This window comes from Homo sapiens, chromosome 5, assembly GCF_000001405.40.
Source record: "Homo sapiens chromosome 5, GRCh38.p14 Primary Assembly".
Classification (NCBI taxonomy): Eukaryota; Metazoa; Chordata; class Mammalia; order Primates; family Hominidae; genus Homo; species Homo sapiens.
In genome coordinates this window covers 116,182,466-116,200,975 of record NC_000005.10, presented here as the reverse complement: position 1 = coordinate 116,200,975, position 18,510 = coordinate 116,182,466, and the positions used below count along the sequence as shown (strand labels likewise).

Sequence of the window (18,510 nt, the reverse complement as noted above, 5' to 3'; positions counted from 1 at the left end):
TCATAGGACAACAGAACACTTCTCTTCTCCCAACATAAAAACACAGAGTTTGAAGAGGACAGAACAAGCATCAGAACCAAACACAGCTATGGCAGGGATGTTGGAATCATAAGATCAGGAATTTAAAACAACTGTGATTAATATGCTAAGGGCTCTAAGGGATAAGAAGACAGCAATAACAGATGGGAAGTACAAGAAGAGAGATCTAAGAAATAACCAAAAGAAATGCTAGAGACCAAAAAAACCACTGTAACAGAAATCAAGAATGCCGTTGAATGGACAAAACTCAGGAAAGAACCTCTGAGCTTGAAAATATCTCAACAGAAAACTTCAAAACTGAAAAGCAAAGACAAAAACAAAACAAAACAAAACAAAAAACCCAGGAGGAAATGTGGCACAACTACAAAAGGTATAACGTATGTGTGATAAAAATTGTAGAAGAAGAAAGAGAAAAGAACAGGAAAAAAATGTAAAGCAATAGTGACTAAAAATGTCCTCAGATTAATGTCAGATACGAAACCATAGATCCAGGAAGCTCACAGAGCACCAAAAGAGATAAATGCCAAAGAAACTACACTTAAGGATACCATCTTCAAATTACAGAAAATCGAAGATAAAGACAAATCCTGAAAGATGCCAAAGTGGTGAAAAAAACACCTTACTTACAGAGGAGCAAAGATAATTACATCCAATTTTTCCTCAGAAACAGTACAAGCAAAAAGGGTGGAGTGATGGGTACAAAAAAGTATATATAGTAGAAAAAACGAATAAGACCTACTGTTTGATGGCACAAGGAGACCACAGTTAATAATAATTTAATTGTGCATTTTAAAATAACTAAAATAATATAATTTATTTGTAACACAAGGGATAAATGCTTGAGGGGATGGATACCCCATTCTTCATGATGTGATTATTACACATTGTATGCCTGTATCAAAACATCACAAGTACCCCATTAATATATACACCTAGTATGTATCCACAAAAATTGAAAATACAAAAAGAGTAGAGTAAAATATTTAGTGTTGAGGAAAAAACCCAACAACCTAAAATTCTGTGCCCTTTGAAATCACCCTTTAAAAGTGAAGAAGAAAGCCAGGCATGGTGCTACATACCTGTAATCCCAGATACTCTGGAGGATTGCTTGAGCCCAGGAGTTGAAGACCAACCTGGGCAACATAGCGAGACCCTGTTTATTTTAAAACTGAAGGAGAAATAAATATCTTCTCAGGCAAATAAAAATCAAGAAAATTTTAGGCTAGTGGACCTGCCTCACAAGAAATGTTTTTTAAAGTTCTTTAAAAGATGTTAAAGGAGACAGGTCAGAAACTCAGATCTACATAAAGAGGGAGCATTAGGGAAAGAATACATAATGGTAAAATAACTTTGTTTCATTCTTAATTGATCTAACAGATCCAAATCATTACTATTTTGAACAAACAGACTTTTTAGATACAATATCAAAGCTACAGTCCATAAAAGAAAGAAGTGACAAGCTGGACTTCATTAAATTAAAAACAAAAAATCTATACTGGGGAAGACACTGTTAAGAGAATAAAAAGACAAGCTAAAGATGACTGGGAGAGAATATCTGCAAATCACATGTCTGATATAAAGGAATGTTATCCAAAATATATGAAGAACTCTTAAAACTCAACAATAAGAAAACACAGCTTAAAAGTGAGCCAAAAACCTAAACAGAAACCTCATCAAAGAAGTTACACAGATGCCAAATAAATATATAAAAAGATGCTCCACACCGTATGTCAGTAGAGAAATCCAAATTAAAACAAAAATGAGAAACTACTACACACTTACTAAAATGGCCAAAATCTAGAACACTGACACCACCAAATGATGGTGAGGATAAGGAGCAACAAGAACCCTCATTTCATTGTTAGTGGAAATGCAAAAAGATACAACCACCATGAAAGACAGTTTGGCAATTTCTCACAAAACTAAACATGCTGTTACCATACAATCCACCAAACATGTTCCTTGGTATTTATCCAAAGGAGTTGAAGACTTACGTGCATACAAAAATTTGCACATGGATGGTACAGCAGCTTTATTTATACTTAGCAAAACTGGAAAGCAATCAAGATGTCTTTCAGTAGGTAAATGAATAAATAAACTGTGGTACCTTCAGACAAGAGATTATTTAGTACTAAAAATAAATGAGCTATCGATGCATGAAAAGACATGGAGAATTTAAATGCATACTAATAAGTGAAAGAAGAAAACCTGAGAAGACTTCATACTGTATGATTCCAGGTATATGACACTTCTGAAAATGTAAAACAGGACTGTAGAGGATTTTCCGTGTAGTAGAAATTATGGTATATGATACTACAGTGGTGGATGTACTGTCATTATACACTTGTCCAAATCCATGAAATGTATGACACCAAAAGTGAACCCTAATATTAACTAGGGTCTTGAGTGATAATCATATAGGTTCATCTATTGTGACAAACATATCACTCTAATAGGGGATACTGATAATTGGATAGGCTATGCATGCATAGGGGAAGGGAATATACGGGGGATCTCTATACCTTCCTATCAGTTTTACTGTGAACCTAACACTGCTCTGAAAAATAAAGTTTATTATTTTTTAATAAATAAGGTATGGTCATTCTATTAAAAATGACTTCCATAACAACCAATTATGTCAATACAATGTTTGCTATTCTTTATAGTATTAGGCAAAGTCAAGAGACTGGCTGCTAAAGGTGAACACCTATAAAAGGCATACAAAAAGGGAAAAACCAAAATGTACTTAGAAATTAAGCTCACTCTTCAGCTGTAACTAATATTAAGGTCTTTCTGCTTAAGAGTACAATGTACATTCCTGAGTATAACTTAAGGCTATAAACTGAGGTTTAAAAAAACAAAAATTATGTGTGAAGTGTGTATAAATGTAGAAAAATTATCAAAATAATCAAGACTGCATATGTGTAAGTGAGAGGAGACAGCAGGGAGGGTACATCAGTGATTGTAAAGCCTTCCAGGTAATAACCATAAGGAAAGCATCCATAGTTCTGGGCTAAACTGAACTGTGAATCTGCACTTAGTATTTCTACTTCTCCTACTGACTCAATATATAACCTAGGCAAGTCATGTAATCTCCCTGTACTTCTTTATGTGAACTGGAGTCTACTCAAAGGGTAACTGGCTATTTCACAGGGAACTATACTTTAATCTGCACTTTACTGCAGTGTCAGAAAGGTGAATAAAATGGCAGAATCCTTTCATGAATTTTCTGTTTCAAAGACAATAAAAATCTGGGGCCAGGCACGGTGGCTCACACCTGTAATCCCAGAACGTAGGGAGGCCGAGGGGGATGGATCACTTGTGCTCAGTTTGAGACCAGCCTGGGCAACATAGTGAGAACCTGTCTCTACAAAAAATAAAATAAAATAAAAATTAGCCAGGCTTGGTGGCACTCAAGTCCCAGCTACTCAGGAAGCTGAGGTGGGTGAATCACTTGAGCCCAGGAGGTAGAGGTTGCAGTGAGCCAAGATCACACCACTGCATTCCAGCCTGGGCAACAGGGCAAGATCATATCTCCAAAAAATAATTCTGTTTTCAACTCTACTTACAATTTGGCAAGAAACAGAAAAAAAGTACTGTAATTTCATGTATTGTTTGCGTAAAATATTAATACAATGACATTTTGCAAAGTAAAAAATGTTATCCTAGGTGTTAATTTCTTAGTAAGTCTTCAAAGCACACTACCACCAAATGGATGCTGAATGAATGAAATGAACTTTACAGTCTCTTCCAAAACTCAAGATTCTATGATTGTAATGTAGGCTATGCAAAATTTGATGAGGCAACCCCACATTAAAAAATGCCAAAAGGGTTTACTTTAGAATAAAATATTTTAAATATTTAACGGACAGAAACACTAAAGTTTCTTGATTATATACTTCTGATATAAATTACTGAAAATCTGTAAAAAGAAAATACTTACAAAGTTGTTATTTGTATGTAAGCACATACTGAAAGATAGGAATACATCGACAGAAATGCTCCTAAGCTTAATTTAGTAAATCATACATCACATTAAAACAATATCCATTAATTTTTAGGCTTTGTTCAGTGTCTTACTGATAAATTTGAAAATTAGTAATATGATGTCCTTTATATAGGAAGATAAAGATTCATCATTTAGAATATACTATATTAGTTATTTTTCCAATCATTATATAGACTGTGAAAAGCCATTCATATACACATAGTTAGTATTTCTGTGACTAACAGCATAAGGGATGTTTGAATATAAGCACATACTGCACACAGCCTTAAATAATAAACATTTTTCTTTTTTTAAAAAAAAAAGCACCAGTAAAACATTAACTCCATAATCCTGACTCTTTAATATCATGTGATAATAATCTACATTAACCAAAGCAGGAATCACAGAGTTAACAGATTTGGCTATTACTTTTTTTTTTTAACATATTTATTTTTCCATAAGTTACTGGGGTACAGGTGGTATTCGGTTACATGAGTAAGTTCTTTAGTGGAGATTTGTGAGATTTTGGTGCACCCATCACCCAAGCAGTATACACTGCACCATATTTGTAGTCTTTTATCCCTCACCCCCTCCCTCTCTTCACCCCAAGTCCTCGAAGTCCACTGTATCATTCTAATGCCTCTGTGTCCTCATAGCTTAGCTCCCACAAAACAGTGAGAACGCACAATGGTCGGTTTTCCATTCTTGAGTTACTTCACTTAGAATAATAGTCTCCACTCGTTGGTTGATGGGCATTTATTTGGGTTGGTTCCATGACTTTGTATTTGTGAATTGTGCTGTTATAAACATGCGTGTTTGCAAGTGTCTTTTTCAAATAATGACTTCTTTTCCTCTGGGTAGATACCCAGTAGTGGGATTGCTGGATCAAATGGTAGTTCTGCTTTTAGTTCCTTAAGAAATCTCCACACTGTCTTCCATAATGGCTGTACTAGTTTACATTCCCACCAGCAGTGTAGACGTGTTTCCTGATCACTGCATCCATGCCAACATCTTCTGTTTATTGATTTTCTGATTATGGCTGTTCTTGCAGGAGTAAGGTGGTATTGCATTGTGGTTTTGATTTGTATTTCCCTGGTCATTAGTGATGCTGAGCATTTTTTCATATGTTTGTTGGCCATTTGTTATATTTTCTTTTGAGAATTGTCTATTCATGTCTTTAGCCCACTTTTTGATGGGATTGTTTTTTTCTTACTGATTTGAGTAATATTAAACAATACTGATTCTACCCATTCATGAGCATGGGATGTGCTTCCATTTGTTTGGGTCATCTATGATTTCTTTCAGTAGTCTTTTGTAGTTTTTCTTGTAGAGGTCTTTGACTCCTCAGTTAGTTATATTCCTACGTATCTTACTTATTTATTTTTTGCTATTGTAAAAGGGGTTGAGTTCTTGACTTGATTCTCTGTTTGGTCGCTGTTGGTGTATAGAACAGCTACTGATTTGTGTACATTAATCTTGTATCCGGAAACTTTGCTGAATTCTTTTACCAGTTCTAGGAGCTTTCTGGAGGAGTCCTTAGGGTTTTCAAGGTAAACGATCATATTGTCAAACACTGACAGTCTTTCTCTTTACCAATTTGGATGCTCTTTATTTCTTTCTCTTGTCTGACTGCTCTGGCTAGGACTCCCAGTACTATACTGAAGAGGAGTAGGGAGAGTAGGTATCCTTATCTTGTTCCAGTTCTCAGAGGAAATGCTTTCAACTTTTCCTCATTCAGTATTATGTTGGCTGTGGGTTTGTCATTGATGGCTTTTATTACATTATGGTACGTCCCTTGTATGCCGATTTTGTTGAGAGTTTTAATCATAAAGAATGCTGGATTTTGTTGAATGCTTTTTCTGCATCGATTGAGATAATCATGTGATTTTTGTTTTTAATTCTCTTTATGTGGTGAATCACATTTATTGACTTGTATATGTTAAGCTATACCTGCATCCCTGGTGTGAAACCCACTTGATCATAGTGGATTATCTTTTTGATATGTTGTTGGATTTGGTTAGCTAGTATTTTGTTAAGGATTTTAGCATCTATGTTCATCAAGGGTATTGGTCTGTAGTTTTCTTTTTTTGGTTATGTCCTTTCCTGATTTTGGTATTAGGGTAATGCTAGCTTCACATAATTAATTAGGAAGGGCTCCTTCTTTATCTTGTGGAATAGTATCAAAAGGATTGGTACCAATTCTTTGAATGTCTGGTAGAATTCTGCTGTGAATCTGTCTGGTCCTGGACTTCTCTTGTTGGTAATTTTTTAACTTACCATTTCAATCTCACTGCTTGTTATTGGTCTGTTCAAGGAATCCAATTCTTCCTGATGTAAGCAGCTAAGAGAGTTGCATCTTTCCAGGAATTTATCCATCTCTTCTTGGTTTTCTAGTTTATGTGCATAAAGTTGTTCACAGTAGCCTTGAATGATCTTTTGTAGTTCAGGAGTGTCAGTTGTAATATCTCCTGTTTTGTTTCTTAGTGAGGTCATTTGGATTTTCTCCCTTCTTTTCTTGGTTAAACTTGCTAATGGTCTATCAATTTTTTTATCTTTTCAAAGAATCAGCTTTTTGTTTCATTTATCTTTTTCATTGTTTTTGTTTCCATTTCATTTAGTTCTGCTCTGATCTTGGTTATTTCCTTTCTTTTGCTGGGTTTGGGTTTGGTTTGTTCTTGTTTCTCTAGTTCCTTGAAGTGTGACCTTGGAATGTCAGTTTGTGCTCCTTCAGTCTTTTTAGGGATTTAGGCATTTAGGGCTATGAACTTTCCTCTTAGCACTACCTTTGCTGTATCCCAGAGGTTTTGGTAGGTTGTGTCATTATTGTTGTTCAGTTCAAAGAATTTTTAAATTTCCATCTTGATTTTGTTTTTGACCCAATGCTCATTCAGGAGCAAGTTATTTAATTTCCATGTATTTGCATGGTTTTGAAGGTTCCTTTTGGAGTTGATTTCCAGTTTTATTCCACTGTGGTCTGAGAGAGTGGCTTGATATCATTTCAGTTTTCTTAAATTTATTGAGGCTCATTTTATGGCCTCAATTATATGGTCTATCTTGGAAAAAGTTGCATGCACTGTTGAATAGAATGCATATTCTGTGGTTGTTGGATAAAATGTTCTGCATGTATCTGCTAAGTCCATTTGTTCCAAGGTACAAATTCATTGTTTCTTTGTTGACTTTGTCTTGATGACCTGTCTAGTACCGTCAGTGGAGTACTGAAGTCCTCCACTATTATCATGTTGCTGTCTATCTCATTTCTTAGGTCTATTAGTAATTGTTTTATATATTTGGGAGCTCCAGTGTTAGGTGCATATGTTTAGGATTGTGACATTTTCCTGTTGGACAAGGCCTTTTACCATTACATAATGTCCCTCTTTGTTTTAACTGCTGTTGCTTTAAAGTTTGTTTTGTCTGACATAAGAGTAGCTTTCCCTATTTGCTTTTGGTGTCCATTTGCATGAAATGCCTTTTTCCACCCCTTTACTTTCAGTTTATGTGAGTCCTTATGTGTTAGGTGTTAGGTGAGTCTCCTGAAGGCAGCAGATAGTTTGTTGGTAAATTCTTATCCATTATGCCACTCTGTATCTTTTAAGTGGAACATTTAGGCCATTTACATTCAATGTCAGTATTGATATGTGAGGTACCACTGCATTCATCCGGCTCTTTGTTGCCTGCGTACTTTGTTTTTGCTTTTTAAGGTGTATTTTTGTTTTATAGGTCCTGTGCTATTTATTCTTTGAAGAGGTTCTGTTTTAATGTGTTTCCAGGATTTGTTTCAAGATTTAGACCTCCTTTTAGCAGTTCCTGTAGTGGTGGCTTGGTAATGGTGAATTCACGCAGCATTTGTTTTTCCGAAAAAGACTATCTTTCCTTTATATATGATGCTTAGCTTCGCTGGATACAAAATTCTTGGCTGATAATTGTTTTGTGTGAGGAGGCTGAAGATAAGGCTAATCCCTTCTAGCTTATAGGGTTTCTGCTGAGAAATCTGCTGTTAATCCAATAGGCTTTCCTTTATAAGTTAGTTACCTGGTGCTTCTGTCTCACAGCTCTTAAGATTCTTTCGTCTTAACTTTGGATAACCTGATGACAGTCAGTGTGCCATGATCTCTTTGTGATAAATTTCCCAAGTGTTCTCTGTGCTTCTTGTATTTGGATGTCTAGGTTCCTAGCAAGGCTGGCGAAGTTTTCCTGGATGATTCCATCAAATATGTTTTCCAAGCTTGTAGAAATCTCTTCTTCCTCAGTAATACTGATTATTCTTAGGTTTGTTGTTTAACATAATCCCAGACTTCTTGGAAACTTTGTTCATATTTTCTTATTCTTTTTTGTCTTTGTTGGATTGGATTAATTTGAAGACCTTATCTTTGAGCTCTGAATTTCTTTCTTATAATTGTTCAATTCTATTGTTGAGACTTTCCAGAGCATTTCACATTTCTATAAGTTTGTCCAAAGTTTCCTGAATTTTTTATTGTTTTTTCTTTAAAGTATCTATTTCCTTGAATATTTCCCCCTTCACTTCTTGTATTGTTTTTTGGATTTCCTTGCATTGGGCTTCACCTTTCTCTGGTGCCTCCCTGATTACCTAAATAACTCACCTCCTGAACTCTTTTTCAGGTAAATCAGGGATTTCTTCTTGGTTTGGATCCACTGCTTGTGAACTAGTGTTATTTTTGGGGGGGGGGGTTGTTAAAGAGCCTTCTTTTGTCATATTACCAGAGTTGGTTTTTTGGTTCCTTCTCATTTAGGTAGGCTCTGTCAGAGGGAAGGTCTAGGGCTGAAGGCTGTTGTTCAGATTCTTTTGTCCCATGGGGTGTTCCCTTGATGTAGTACTCTCTCCATTTTCCTATGGACGTGGCTTCCTGTGATTACTGTGTGCAGTGATTACTGTCTCTCTTCTGGGTCTAGCCACCGAGTCTACCCGGCTCCAGGCTGGTACTGGGGGTTGTCTGCACAATATCACATCCTGTGATGTGAACCATCTATGTGTCTCTTCTCCGTAGATACCAGCACCTGTTCCAGTGGAGTTAGTGGGGGGTGGGAGGATGGGGGGTTGTGCAACGGACTCCATGAGGGTTCTTAGCTTTGGTGGTTTAATGCTCTATTTTAGTGCTGGTTGGCCTCCTGCCAGGAGGTGGTGCTTTCCAGAGAGCATCAGCTGTAGTAGTGCAGAGAGGGACCAGCAATGGGCAGGGGCTTAGAACTCCCAAGATTATATGCACTCTGTCTTCCGCTACTAGGGTGGGTAGGGAAGGACCATCAAGTGGGGGCAGGGCTAGGTATGTCTGAGCTCAGACTCTCCTTGGGTGGGTCTTGCTGTGGCTGCTGTTGGGGGTTGGGGTGAGATTCCCAGGTCACTAGAGCTGTGTACCTAGGAGGATTATGGCTGCCTCTGCTGAGTCATGCAGGTTGTCAGGGAAGTGGGGGAAAGCTGGCAGTCACAGGCGTCACCCAGCTCTTATGCAAACCAAAGGGCCAGTCTCACTCCCACCGAGCCCCACAAGAGCCCCAAGTCTGTTTCCAGGTGGTGGGTGACACAGGCTTGAAAACTTGCCCCAGGCTATCCGCCACCCAGTTGCAAAAGAATAGGGCTTCATTCTTCCCCCACCTGTTGAGTGTGCCCTCCAGATTTGTGTCCTCACCCGAGTTCTGGCCAGGAGGCTTCTCACCCCATTCAAATTGTTACAAAGTTCAGCTAGAGATTTACTTCTCTCTGTGGAGTTTTGCCCCCTGCTCCTCTGGCCACCCTCCTGATGGATCCCTGTGGTGTCATGCAGGAATGGCCTGCTAGGGGATCCAGCGAGCTCCAGGGCCTTTCTGCTGCTTCCTCTACCCCTCTGAAATCTGGAAATAGCATGAGTCTATCATCCATAAACTCGTATTTTCATTCATGTTTGACAGAAAATCACAATGTTATAATGTCAAAACTGTGGAAAGTTATGTAAGGCAACAGGGTGTAAAATGTAGAAAAGTGCTTATTATAAATAAAATATATAGTTCCAGCAAATTTGGTAATATGTTTAATTTGACTTTTAAAAATACATATTTTACATGACTTAAATATTCACTTAAAGTGTTTGTTTCCCAACTTGTACTCTACCAATTTAAATTATTCTGAAAGTAAACATGTAGCTATCTCAAAGTTTTATAGAACTTAAGGTTTGAGTTTTCATTCTTATCTTTCAGGATTAGTATTTCAGCTTAAAGTTGTTAGTTGCTTTCCTTGTTAATATTTTAGGTACAAAAGTTATATGTAACTAAAACATAAATAAGAGGTATTCCTCAAAACATGGTAGCAAGACTTTACAATCCCAACTCAAGATGATTTAGCATTTATATTCCAAAGAAACAGAGAACTCTTGGTTGCCAGTGACAGAAAATCTAACCCAAACTGGCATAGGCAAAAAAGCAGTGTAATGGGTTATGGAACTGAAACTGTAGGATTAGAAATAGTTTTTAAAATAGCTGGGTATTTATCAAACTATAAAATATGGTAGCAATTTCTGTACATATGTGTACCACTTAGTTGCATTTAAATGCACATACAATTATTTTGTATGTAAGTAGAATTCCACAACATACACTGTCACTGCTATCTGTTCCTCTGTACATTCATTAATTAATCATATATTTTAGCTGCATATTTAACTTTCAAACAGTTCCTAATTATAAAAGTTTCATAACATTTTCTACTAGATATATATATATAGGCCTCAAAATACACCATCAGGACTCAGTTTCTTTCCCTCCATCCTCTCAGTCCTACTTTCTGATATTTTGGTCTTCTCAGCTCCATGTGATGTGTGAGGCTGTGGTGCTTGAAGCTGCAATAGCTATCTTTCAGTGGAGGTACCCTGATATATACTCATCCAATCTCAACCAATCACTGTGTTGAAGGAGATAAAGCGTGCTGATTGCTTAGGCATAGGTCACATACATCACCTCTGAATTGGTGGAGGTAGCCCTACTCTAAGAGCAGGAAAGGGAAAGATTCTTCAAAGAAAAATGAAGGGAGGTTTTTCAGAAGGTCAGGAGTACATGCCTAGTACAAATTACCTCCTTTCATAATAAAGATAATATTAATAAACAGCAACAACTGAAAATATGCTTTAAGTGGTTTTCATTTTGCTAAAATACATGAACAATTTCTTGAAAATAGTACTGTTCATTAGATTTTCATTACTGTTTTCTTCTGATGTCATGACTTAAATAAACTTATTTCCTCTTTCTTAAATTCTCTTTACAGTGTTAACTGAAATTTAGGGTTCTGGCAGCTGTGGCTATAAAAAATTAATCATAATAAGATATTGCCAAACAGCTAGGGATTAAGGCCAATTTTTCCAAGAGAATTGTACTAGTCCAGTTCTTGGTCACAAAGAATGGAAGTGATTTCTGGTTAAGTTAAGTAGGAAACAATTCGGATGGCACACAAAATGATGAAGCTGAAGAAACAGACTTGGGAAACAAGATGGCACTAAAGAAGGTTAGGAAGCCAGAACTGCAACCAAAATCATGCTGGAAAAAAGACAGCCTAGGAAGCCTCTGCTGAGAATGTGGCACCACCACCACTGCTGGTACCAGTATCTCCACTGGTATGAGACACTGGATGCTGCTCTAGCCACTAGAGGCTGAGGTGGGAGGACTGCTTGAGCCTGGGAGTTGGAAACCACTAGAAGAATAAATTCTAAACTGTTGCTATGTCTTTGCATCACTTTTCCTAGATGTGAAGTCTCATGCAGCGATTTCCAACTAGTTGATGGAAACTCTAGCTGTCACAGGAGGTCATATGCCCCAAACTCTAGCTGTCACAGGAGTTATGAGAGGAACTATCTGCCCCACTTTGGCTTCCACAGAGGGAAGTGGAACCTAAGGCACTCAGAATAAACCCTAACATACAATGAGCCATCAATAAATTTTTTATTCTTGTAGAACACTGTTTAAGGAATTAGGTGGCAAATGTTGTTTTCACAGTGATATTATGTGTCTGATAGCACAACCTTCATTAATAACAAACATATGGGCTGGGTGCAGTGGCTTACGCCTATAATCCCAGAACTATGGAAGGCCAAGGTGGGTGAACTGCTTGAACTCACAAGTTCACGACTAGCCTGGGCAACATGGAGAAACCCCCTCTCTACAAAAAAATACAAAGATTAGTCAAGTGTGGTGGTGTGCACCTGTAGTCTCAGCTACTTGGGAGGCTGAGGTGGGAGGATTGCTTGAGCCGGGAGGTGGAAGCTGAGCCAAGATCGTGCCACTGCACTCCAACCTGGAGGATGATAGAGCCAGACCTTGTCAAAAAAAAAAAAGAGAGAGAGAGAAAGAAAGAAGGAAGGAAGGAAGGAAAAAGAAGAAAAGAAAGAAAGAAAGAAAGAAGAAAGAAAGAGAAAAACCATGTGCTCACTTACTTCAGTAGCATATATGCTAAAATTGGAAAGACAAAGGGAAGATTAGCATGGCCCCTGCACAAATTTGTGAAGTGTTCCATTTTTTTTAAATAAAATAAAAACTATTAAAAAGAAACACAAGAAAGATATTCCTAATATCACACAATTGTTGGGAGAACAGAGGCAAAAACTGATTACTCTAAATCAAACTTATTAGCTCTAATTCTAGCAAAAAAAAATTCCATGCCCGCCACCCCCAGTGTATTCCGCCTGTAGAACATACTTTAAGTCAAGTGGACTTGATAAGGCAAAAACAATAAACCTAAGAGGTAATCAAAGCTTGTCCCTTAGGAGTTGATCATGACAGGTCACAGACAAGTTATTTTCCTCTCCATCATGAGTACTAATTGGTCAAATAAAATCAGTCACTAACTGCAAAGTAGGTACCAATGTTCATCTAGGTTAGTTTCCATTATAGTTACTGGAAACTAACAGAGTAAACCTTCTGTTGTAAACTGACGTAATGATGTTTTAGGTCACCCTTAAAGATTCCTGTCCAGATCTGAATCTATATACTTGAAAAAGAAAAGCTGTCACTTGGTTCCTATATTACCAAACTGCTTCTGTGATTACAGGGTAAAGTCCCTTATTATTCTCTCAGAATTCTACCCAAGACACATGGCTATAACTTAACTAAAATAAAGTGTAAGGTATAAAGAAAGTACTTTAAAAAAACACTGTTTACAACATAAAGTTATTTAAGTATAAATACTTGGAATTCAGCAATTTTATTTATAATAATGTTTGGTTAAAAAAAGAATTTAATTACCATACTATGCTTTCTCAACTCAGTTAAACACAAACTATATTCATTTCCAAATTTCCGTTGGATATTTAAATTAGAATATACTACAAATATATTACATGTAAATGTTAATATATGAAGTAATTTAGAGAATGTTAATGCATGAAGTAATGTAGAGATCATTTAACCTACTTTGTAGCAGTAGTCCAAATCACTCTTCTTTGTTACAGCCATATATAGATAGGTTGCTGAATTTTTTTTTACATCAATATCTTTACACTAAAATATCTTCAGAAATTACCTCTAATACTATTTACCAATCCATCAAATATGGTAGCAATCTCTATACATATGTATACCATTCAATTATATTTAAATGCATATACAATTATTATTTTGCATATAAATAAAATTCACAAAACAAATACACTGCCACTGCTATCTATTCATTTGTATGTTCATTAATTTATCACACATTTTAGCTAAACATTTGGCTTTCAGATAGTTCCTAATTATAAGTTTCATAACACTTCATTTATTCTACAGCATTAGGAGCTGAAAAGGGTCTAATATATTCAGGAAGAAAACACTTTCTGGGGTCTCTTTTGAACACATGTATTCCCATACTGTTTTTAAAGTTTTTTGTTTTGATTTTTAGAAACTTGATTCATTTGTTTATTATTATTTTTTACTTTAGGATATACACTGAGTAGTACTCAATAAATAATGTGATTTGATTAAAAGTGCCATAAGAAACAAAATACTCAGCTTCCTAGTATTTGAAATTATTACATATTTCTAGTTATTTTTAAAGCAAAAAGGAGAGGACAATAATGGAAAAGTATATATGTTGTGCGCCTATGATGCATTACGGGCTACAGTGCTTAATAACTCTAGTGGAATCACTAATAGTTTTTCCTCCACTTAAAATTCATTATGCTGCTAAGGAAGAGAAACTCCAATAAGGCCAAGGACACAACTGATGCACTGAACTGGGAAAAGCTACAGTTGTTAATTTATTCAGTCATTTCTTCAACAAATATTTCTTGAGCTCCCCTCTCCAGTCCTATAACCAGTGGGATCCCTAATCTCTAGAAGCCAACATTAAAAGGCACAGGGAGAATGACAAATACATTATTACAAATGTGACAAGTGCTGTGAAGAGAAGGTATGAAGTAGGAGAACTCAGCCAGTTCAGGTCAAGGTAAACCTCCTTCAGAAGATCACATCTGATAACTGAACAGTTAGGTGGGAGGAGTTGAGGAAGGCAGAGAGTGTTTCCCAGTTAAAGGATAGAACCTGCAAAAACCCAGAGAAGGAGAATATTAACTGTATTTCATGAAATGAAAAAAGTGCTTAGAGCTAGAAAGGAGAGGTAGAATTGTGCAAATATAATGTTAGGGATATGAGACTATCAGAAGGTAATGGGAAAGCTGTTAAGTGCGGAAATGAAACAAATTTACAAAAGCAGTTTGGGGTTATGGGAGCAGAAGCTGTATTGGAATGGGCTAAAGACAATGAAAATAAACAATTTGTTTAAAAAGTTTGACTGCGGGGTGAGAAACAGAGTTGCAGCTGAACCAATAAGTTGATTAATTTGTTACCTTCATTCGATGCTTGGATTTATTTGAACATGTTTAAACGTTGACAGTAAAAAGTCTACAGGGAGAAAGATAATGAAGATGGAGGAAAGAAAAATTCCTCAGATGATTAAAAGGGGTCGAACCCAGACCTCAGGAAATCATAGGTAACCATTAGCCCAATGTGTTATTTTCTCCAAAAATGCTTGATGGCAGTAAAGTCAGGTAACATTCATCCAGGGTCAGAGTTCTTGCTGGTTGGTACAGAGAAGACTAATGGGAAAAGAACTTGCAGACACTGAAATGAGAGTAAAGTGATTAGAGTCTAAGATAAGAAGATAATGAAAATATTAAGGGTCTAATAAAGATATCTCAATGTAGTCAGAGGAGGAAGCAATCAGAGGCAAGATGTATTTGTTATTTACCAGTTTTAAAATTTGTAATCAAGGCTCAAAACATAGCTCTTTGTTGATAGAGTTCAACGCAAGAGCTAAGGAGGTCAAGGAATTTTTCCACCAGAAATGCCCTCTTTACATAGGACCCTTGTCCTTTTGCTATGTTTTGTTCTCAGAGAACTCCATGCAATAAGACAGAATGGAATTCCTCCCTACTTCCCCACCCTAACTCCCACCCATTCCCACAAACTTTAAAACGCCAAGGAGAAAGCAGGGTGGCATCGGAGAAAAAGGAAAGCCAAGAAATAGACTGCTTGACCCTGCTTTTGTTTTTTCAAGCTTTTTTGTAATACACAGACCCCTTTGTTCAATCAATATCTTGCACAGAAATACAAATGGTAAAACAGAAAAGTATAGCTGCTCTGCTAGAAGTAGGACCTGAGGTTCTGTTAAATGCCCCTTGCCTTTGTCCTTCCCACATATTTATATCTAGAAGACACCTAGGACTCAGAGCACAACTGACCATTTTTGTTCAAACTGAAAAAAAAGTAAAAATTCTATGCTTTCTTAAGACATACATTGTAGTTTGGGTCATTGTGGATCACATAGGTTAAGACAATATAAAGATCTATGGGCGCAAAGCTCTAAGAAATAACGAGGAACTTGTACTTATATCTCCCTTTCTATACTTAGCAGTAGGACTTGTTCATCTTTGGGAAGAAACCTGTATGTGCCAAAACTTTTATCACACATTTTGTATAACTGCCTTCTATTCTTTCAAAATTCTTGTCAGGAAGTCATATTATTCTCATTTTGCAAAATAGGAAGTTAAGGCCCAGAGGAGTCAAGTAACTTGCCTAAAGTCACAAAGTTAATAAGTGAAGGGGTCAGGATTCAAAGCTGATTTAAAAGCCCCAAAATCGATTATATTACATTGCCTCCAAGATTCATGAATTTAACAATGTTCCTCTACTACCATTTATATATAAAATCTTCTGGCTAAAAGCCCATAAAACGTTTTCTCATACATACCATTAAAAACAGTTCAACCCTAGAGAATTATCATGGAACTGTTTTAGATTAATAGGGCATAACATAGGCATTCTAACAGATCTCTGCTGAATCTGTTTTCTTTTGGTAAATAACAACTCCACTGCTGCTGGAGTAAAAGTTGACGCTGCTTTTTTAGGTTTGGTGTTCATTATATCTTATTTCTACACCAACATTGATGAGACTGTACCCTAGGAGTCAGTGTTAACCAATATTATCAACCCAGAAAGGCGGGGTGGAGGTGAAATTGCAACTACTAAAAATATGTCTATAAAGAAGTAACAAAAGTCATGGAAACAAATATTTGAAGAAAACAGTCACTAAATAATAGGATCATGAGAAAAAGAAGCCCAAATCAATTCAACTTATTGTAGAGTAAAGCTGATTTTAATCAAGACCTTGAGAAAAAAAAAAAAAGGTCAGATATATAGTTAAGAAAAATAAAGAAAATGTAAATACATAATTAGGGAGTGAACACAAAAGGATTGACATCCTGGATTAAAAAAAAAAAGAGAGACAGAACTAAGAACCACATAGAAATGTCTGTCCTTTTTCTACGTGTTATTATGGTAATAAATACATCTATTGGTCTTCCAGAAACAATGTGAGATCTATAAAACTTCTTTCACTAGTCATTAATAGTATTTGTTCCCCAAAGCATCATGACCTCAGTAATTTAGTATTTGGAATTTGAGAACAACATAGTTAACTGGATTATTAACCCTTAACGGATGACTGATTAAAATAATTAAAATCCACACAAAATCCAAAAGTTATTTATATTTTGTTTAAAATAACACCAGTATGCTCTGCAGTGCATGGAAACATATAATCTCAAAAACATCCTACCTCATTTCTAATAAGCACTAATTCTATTCACGTATAGCCTGCCACCATATATACCTGAATATGGTCACAGTAGAGACATTTCCTAAGGGCCACAAAGGAACTGCTTCATTAATTATCAGCTATCCAGGTAACCCAAAACTAAATGTAAAATTTATATTTATACATTCATTCAGAAAGTATTTATTAAATGGTTACTCTGTGTCAGTGTGCTAAGTGCAGTGAATATATTGGTGAACAAAACAGAAATGGTCTATTTCTTTAAAATATAAAGAAACAGCACTCTCTCAGAACACAAAGAAAGTTACAAGTTTAAATTAAATACTACTTTGAAGATTTTTATTAATTTCAAGGAGGCCTATAATTCACTTTCATAAGGATATGGGTTATTTAAGTCCTCCTAACAGTCCCTTGGATACCTGAAAAATATGTTTAAAATAAAAACAAGATTGAATTTCATTTTAATGAGTCTATGTAGTCACTGAAATTCTAGGGCATGAGCTAGCTAAACCCAGATTTTCAAAACTACTTCAGGCATTTACATTTTTCTCAAGGAGTCTGCTAAGTTCTTTAGGTTTTAGGTCTTCTAGAAACATTTTTCTTTCAGTTCTGGCATCATCCTTAGTCTCCCCTATAAATATTAACATTTCATATTTTGACTAACTCAATATAATGTTAGATATTATATGCCCATGGTAATTTATTTCTAGGTTCTCTGGTGAGTCAATGGCCTCTCTCACCAACAATCTCTTTATGATCATTATATTAGTCTGTTCTCACATTGCTATGAAGAAATACCGAAGACTGGGTAATTTGCAAAGAAAAGCGGTTTCACTGACTCACATTTCTGCATTGCTGGAGAGGCCTCAGGAAACTTACAATCATGGCAGAAGGCAAAGGAGAAGCAGGCACCTTCTTCACAGGGTGGCAGGATGGAGTGAGTGCAAGCAGGGGAAATGCCACATGCTTAAAAAACCATCAGATCTCTTGAGACTCACTATCATAAGGACAGCATGGGGGAAACTGCCCCCATGATCCAATTACATCTACTTGGTCCTGCCCTTGAGGATTATGGGGATTACAATTAAAGATGAGATTTTGGGTGAGGAGACACAGCCAAACCATATCAATCATGTATTTATTATTTTCTGGACAACCTGATTTTTTCCACTTGGAGATAGAATTTTAATCCCTTTTTACTTGGCTTTCTAATTTTTTAGTATTTGTATATGTCAACATTCCCTTAAACCTCCCCAAATAGATTGCTTTCCTCTTAATTAATAACCTTAGTGTTTCTCTAGAATACTGTTTTGTTCTCTAAATTTTATTAATATCTGAGAAATAGTCTAAATGTCTCAGCAACAAAGTTTCTTCTTTGATTTCTCACTTTAATGTATCAATTTTTAATCACCTCAACTGA

The 18,510-nt window shown here is 36.2% G+C and overlaps 1 protein-coding gene and 1 pseudogene across 5 annotated transcripts in view, besides 1 other annotated feature; one reads left to right on the top strand and one right to left on the bottom strand.

Annotated features, from left to right (window-relative positions):
* Positions 1–18,510, bottom strand: part of COMMD10 (COMM domain containing 10) — a 208,263-nt gene that overhangs the window by 92,312 nt on the left and 97,441 nt on the right. For 3 of the 5 annotated variants that reach the window (NR_146220.2, NR_146218.2, NR_146219.2), the window contains 2 exons: positions 14,824–15,097; positions 10,035–14,518 (listed from right to left, as the gene is read on the bottom strand). The exons of the other annotated variants lie outside the window; for them this stretch is intronic. The gene's annotated coding sequence lies outside the window, so the exon portion shown is untranslated. Of the gene's footprint in view, positions 1–10,034; positions 14,519–14,823; positions 15,098–18,510 lie in introns of those variants that run through there. 5 annotated transcript variants of the gene reach the window in all.
* Positions 9,002–9,502: an enhancer, noted in NCBI's record as "H3K27ac hESC enhancer chr5:115527171-115527671 (GRCh37/hg19 assembly coordinates)". NCBI's record gives its function as "activates a minimal SCP1, AML or CMV promoter by ChIP-STARR-seq in primed H9 embryonic stem cells {active_cell/tissue: H9 hESC(primed)}" and the evidence as "EXISTENCE:reporter gene assay evidence [ECO:0000049][PMID:30033119]".
* On the top strand, positions 12,424–12,521 carry RNU6-644P (RNA, U6 small nuclear 644, pseudogene; annotated as a pseudogene).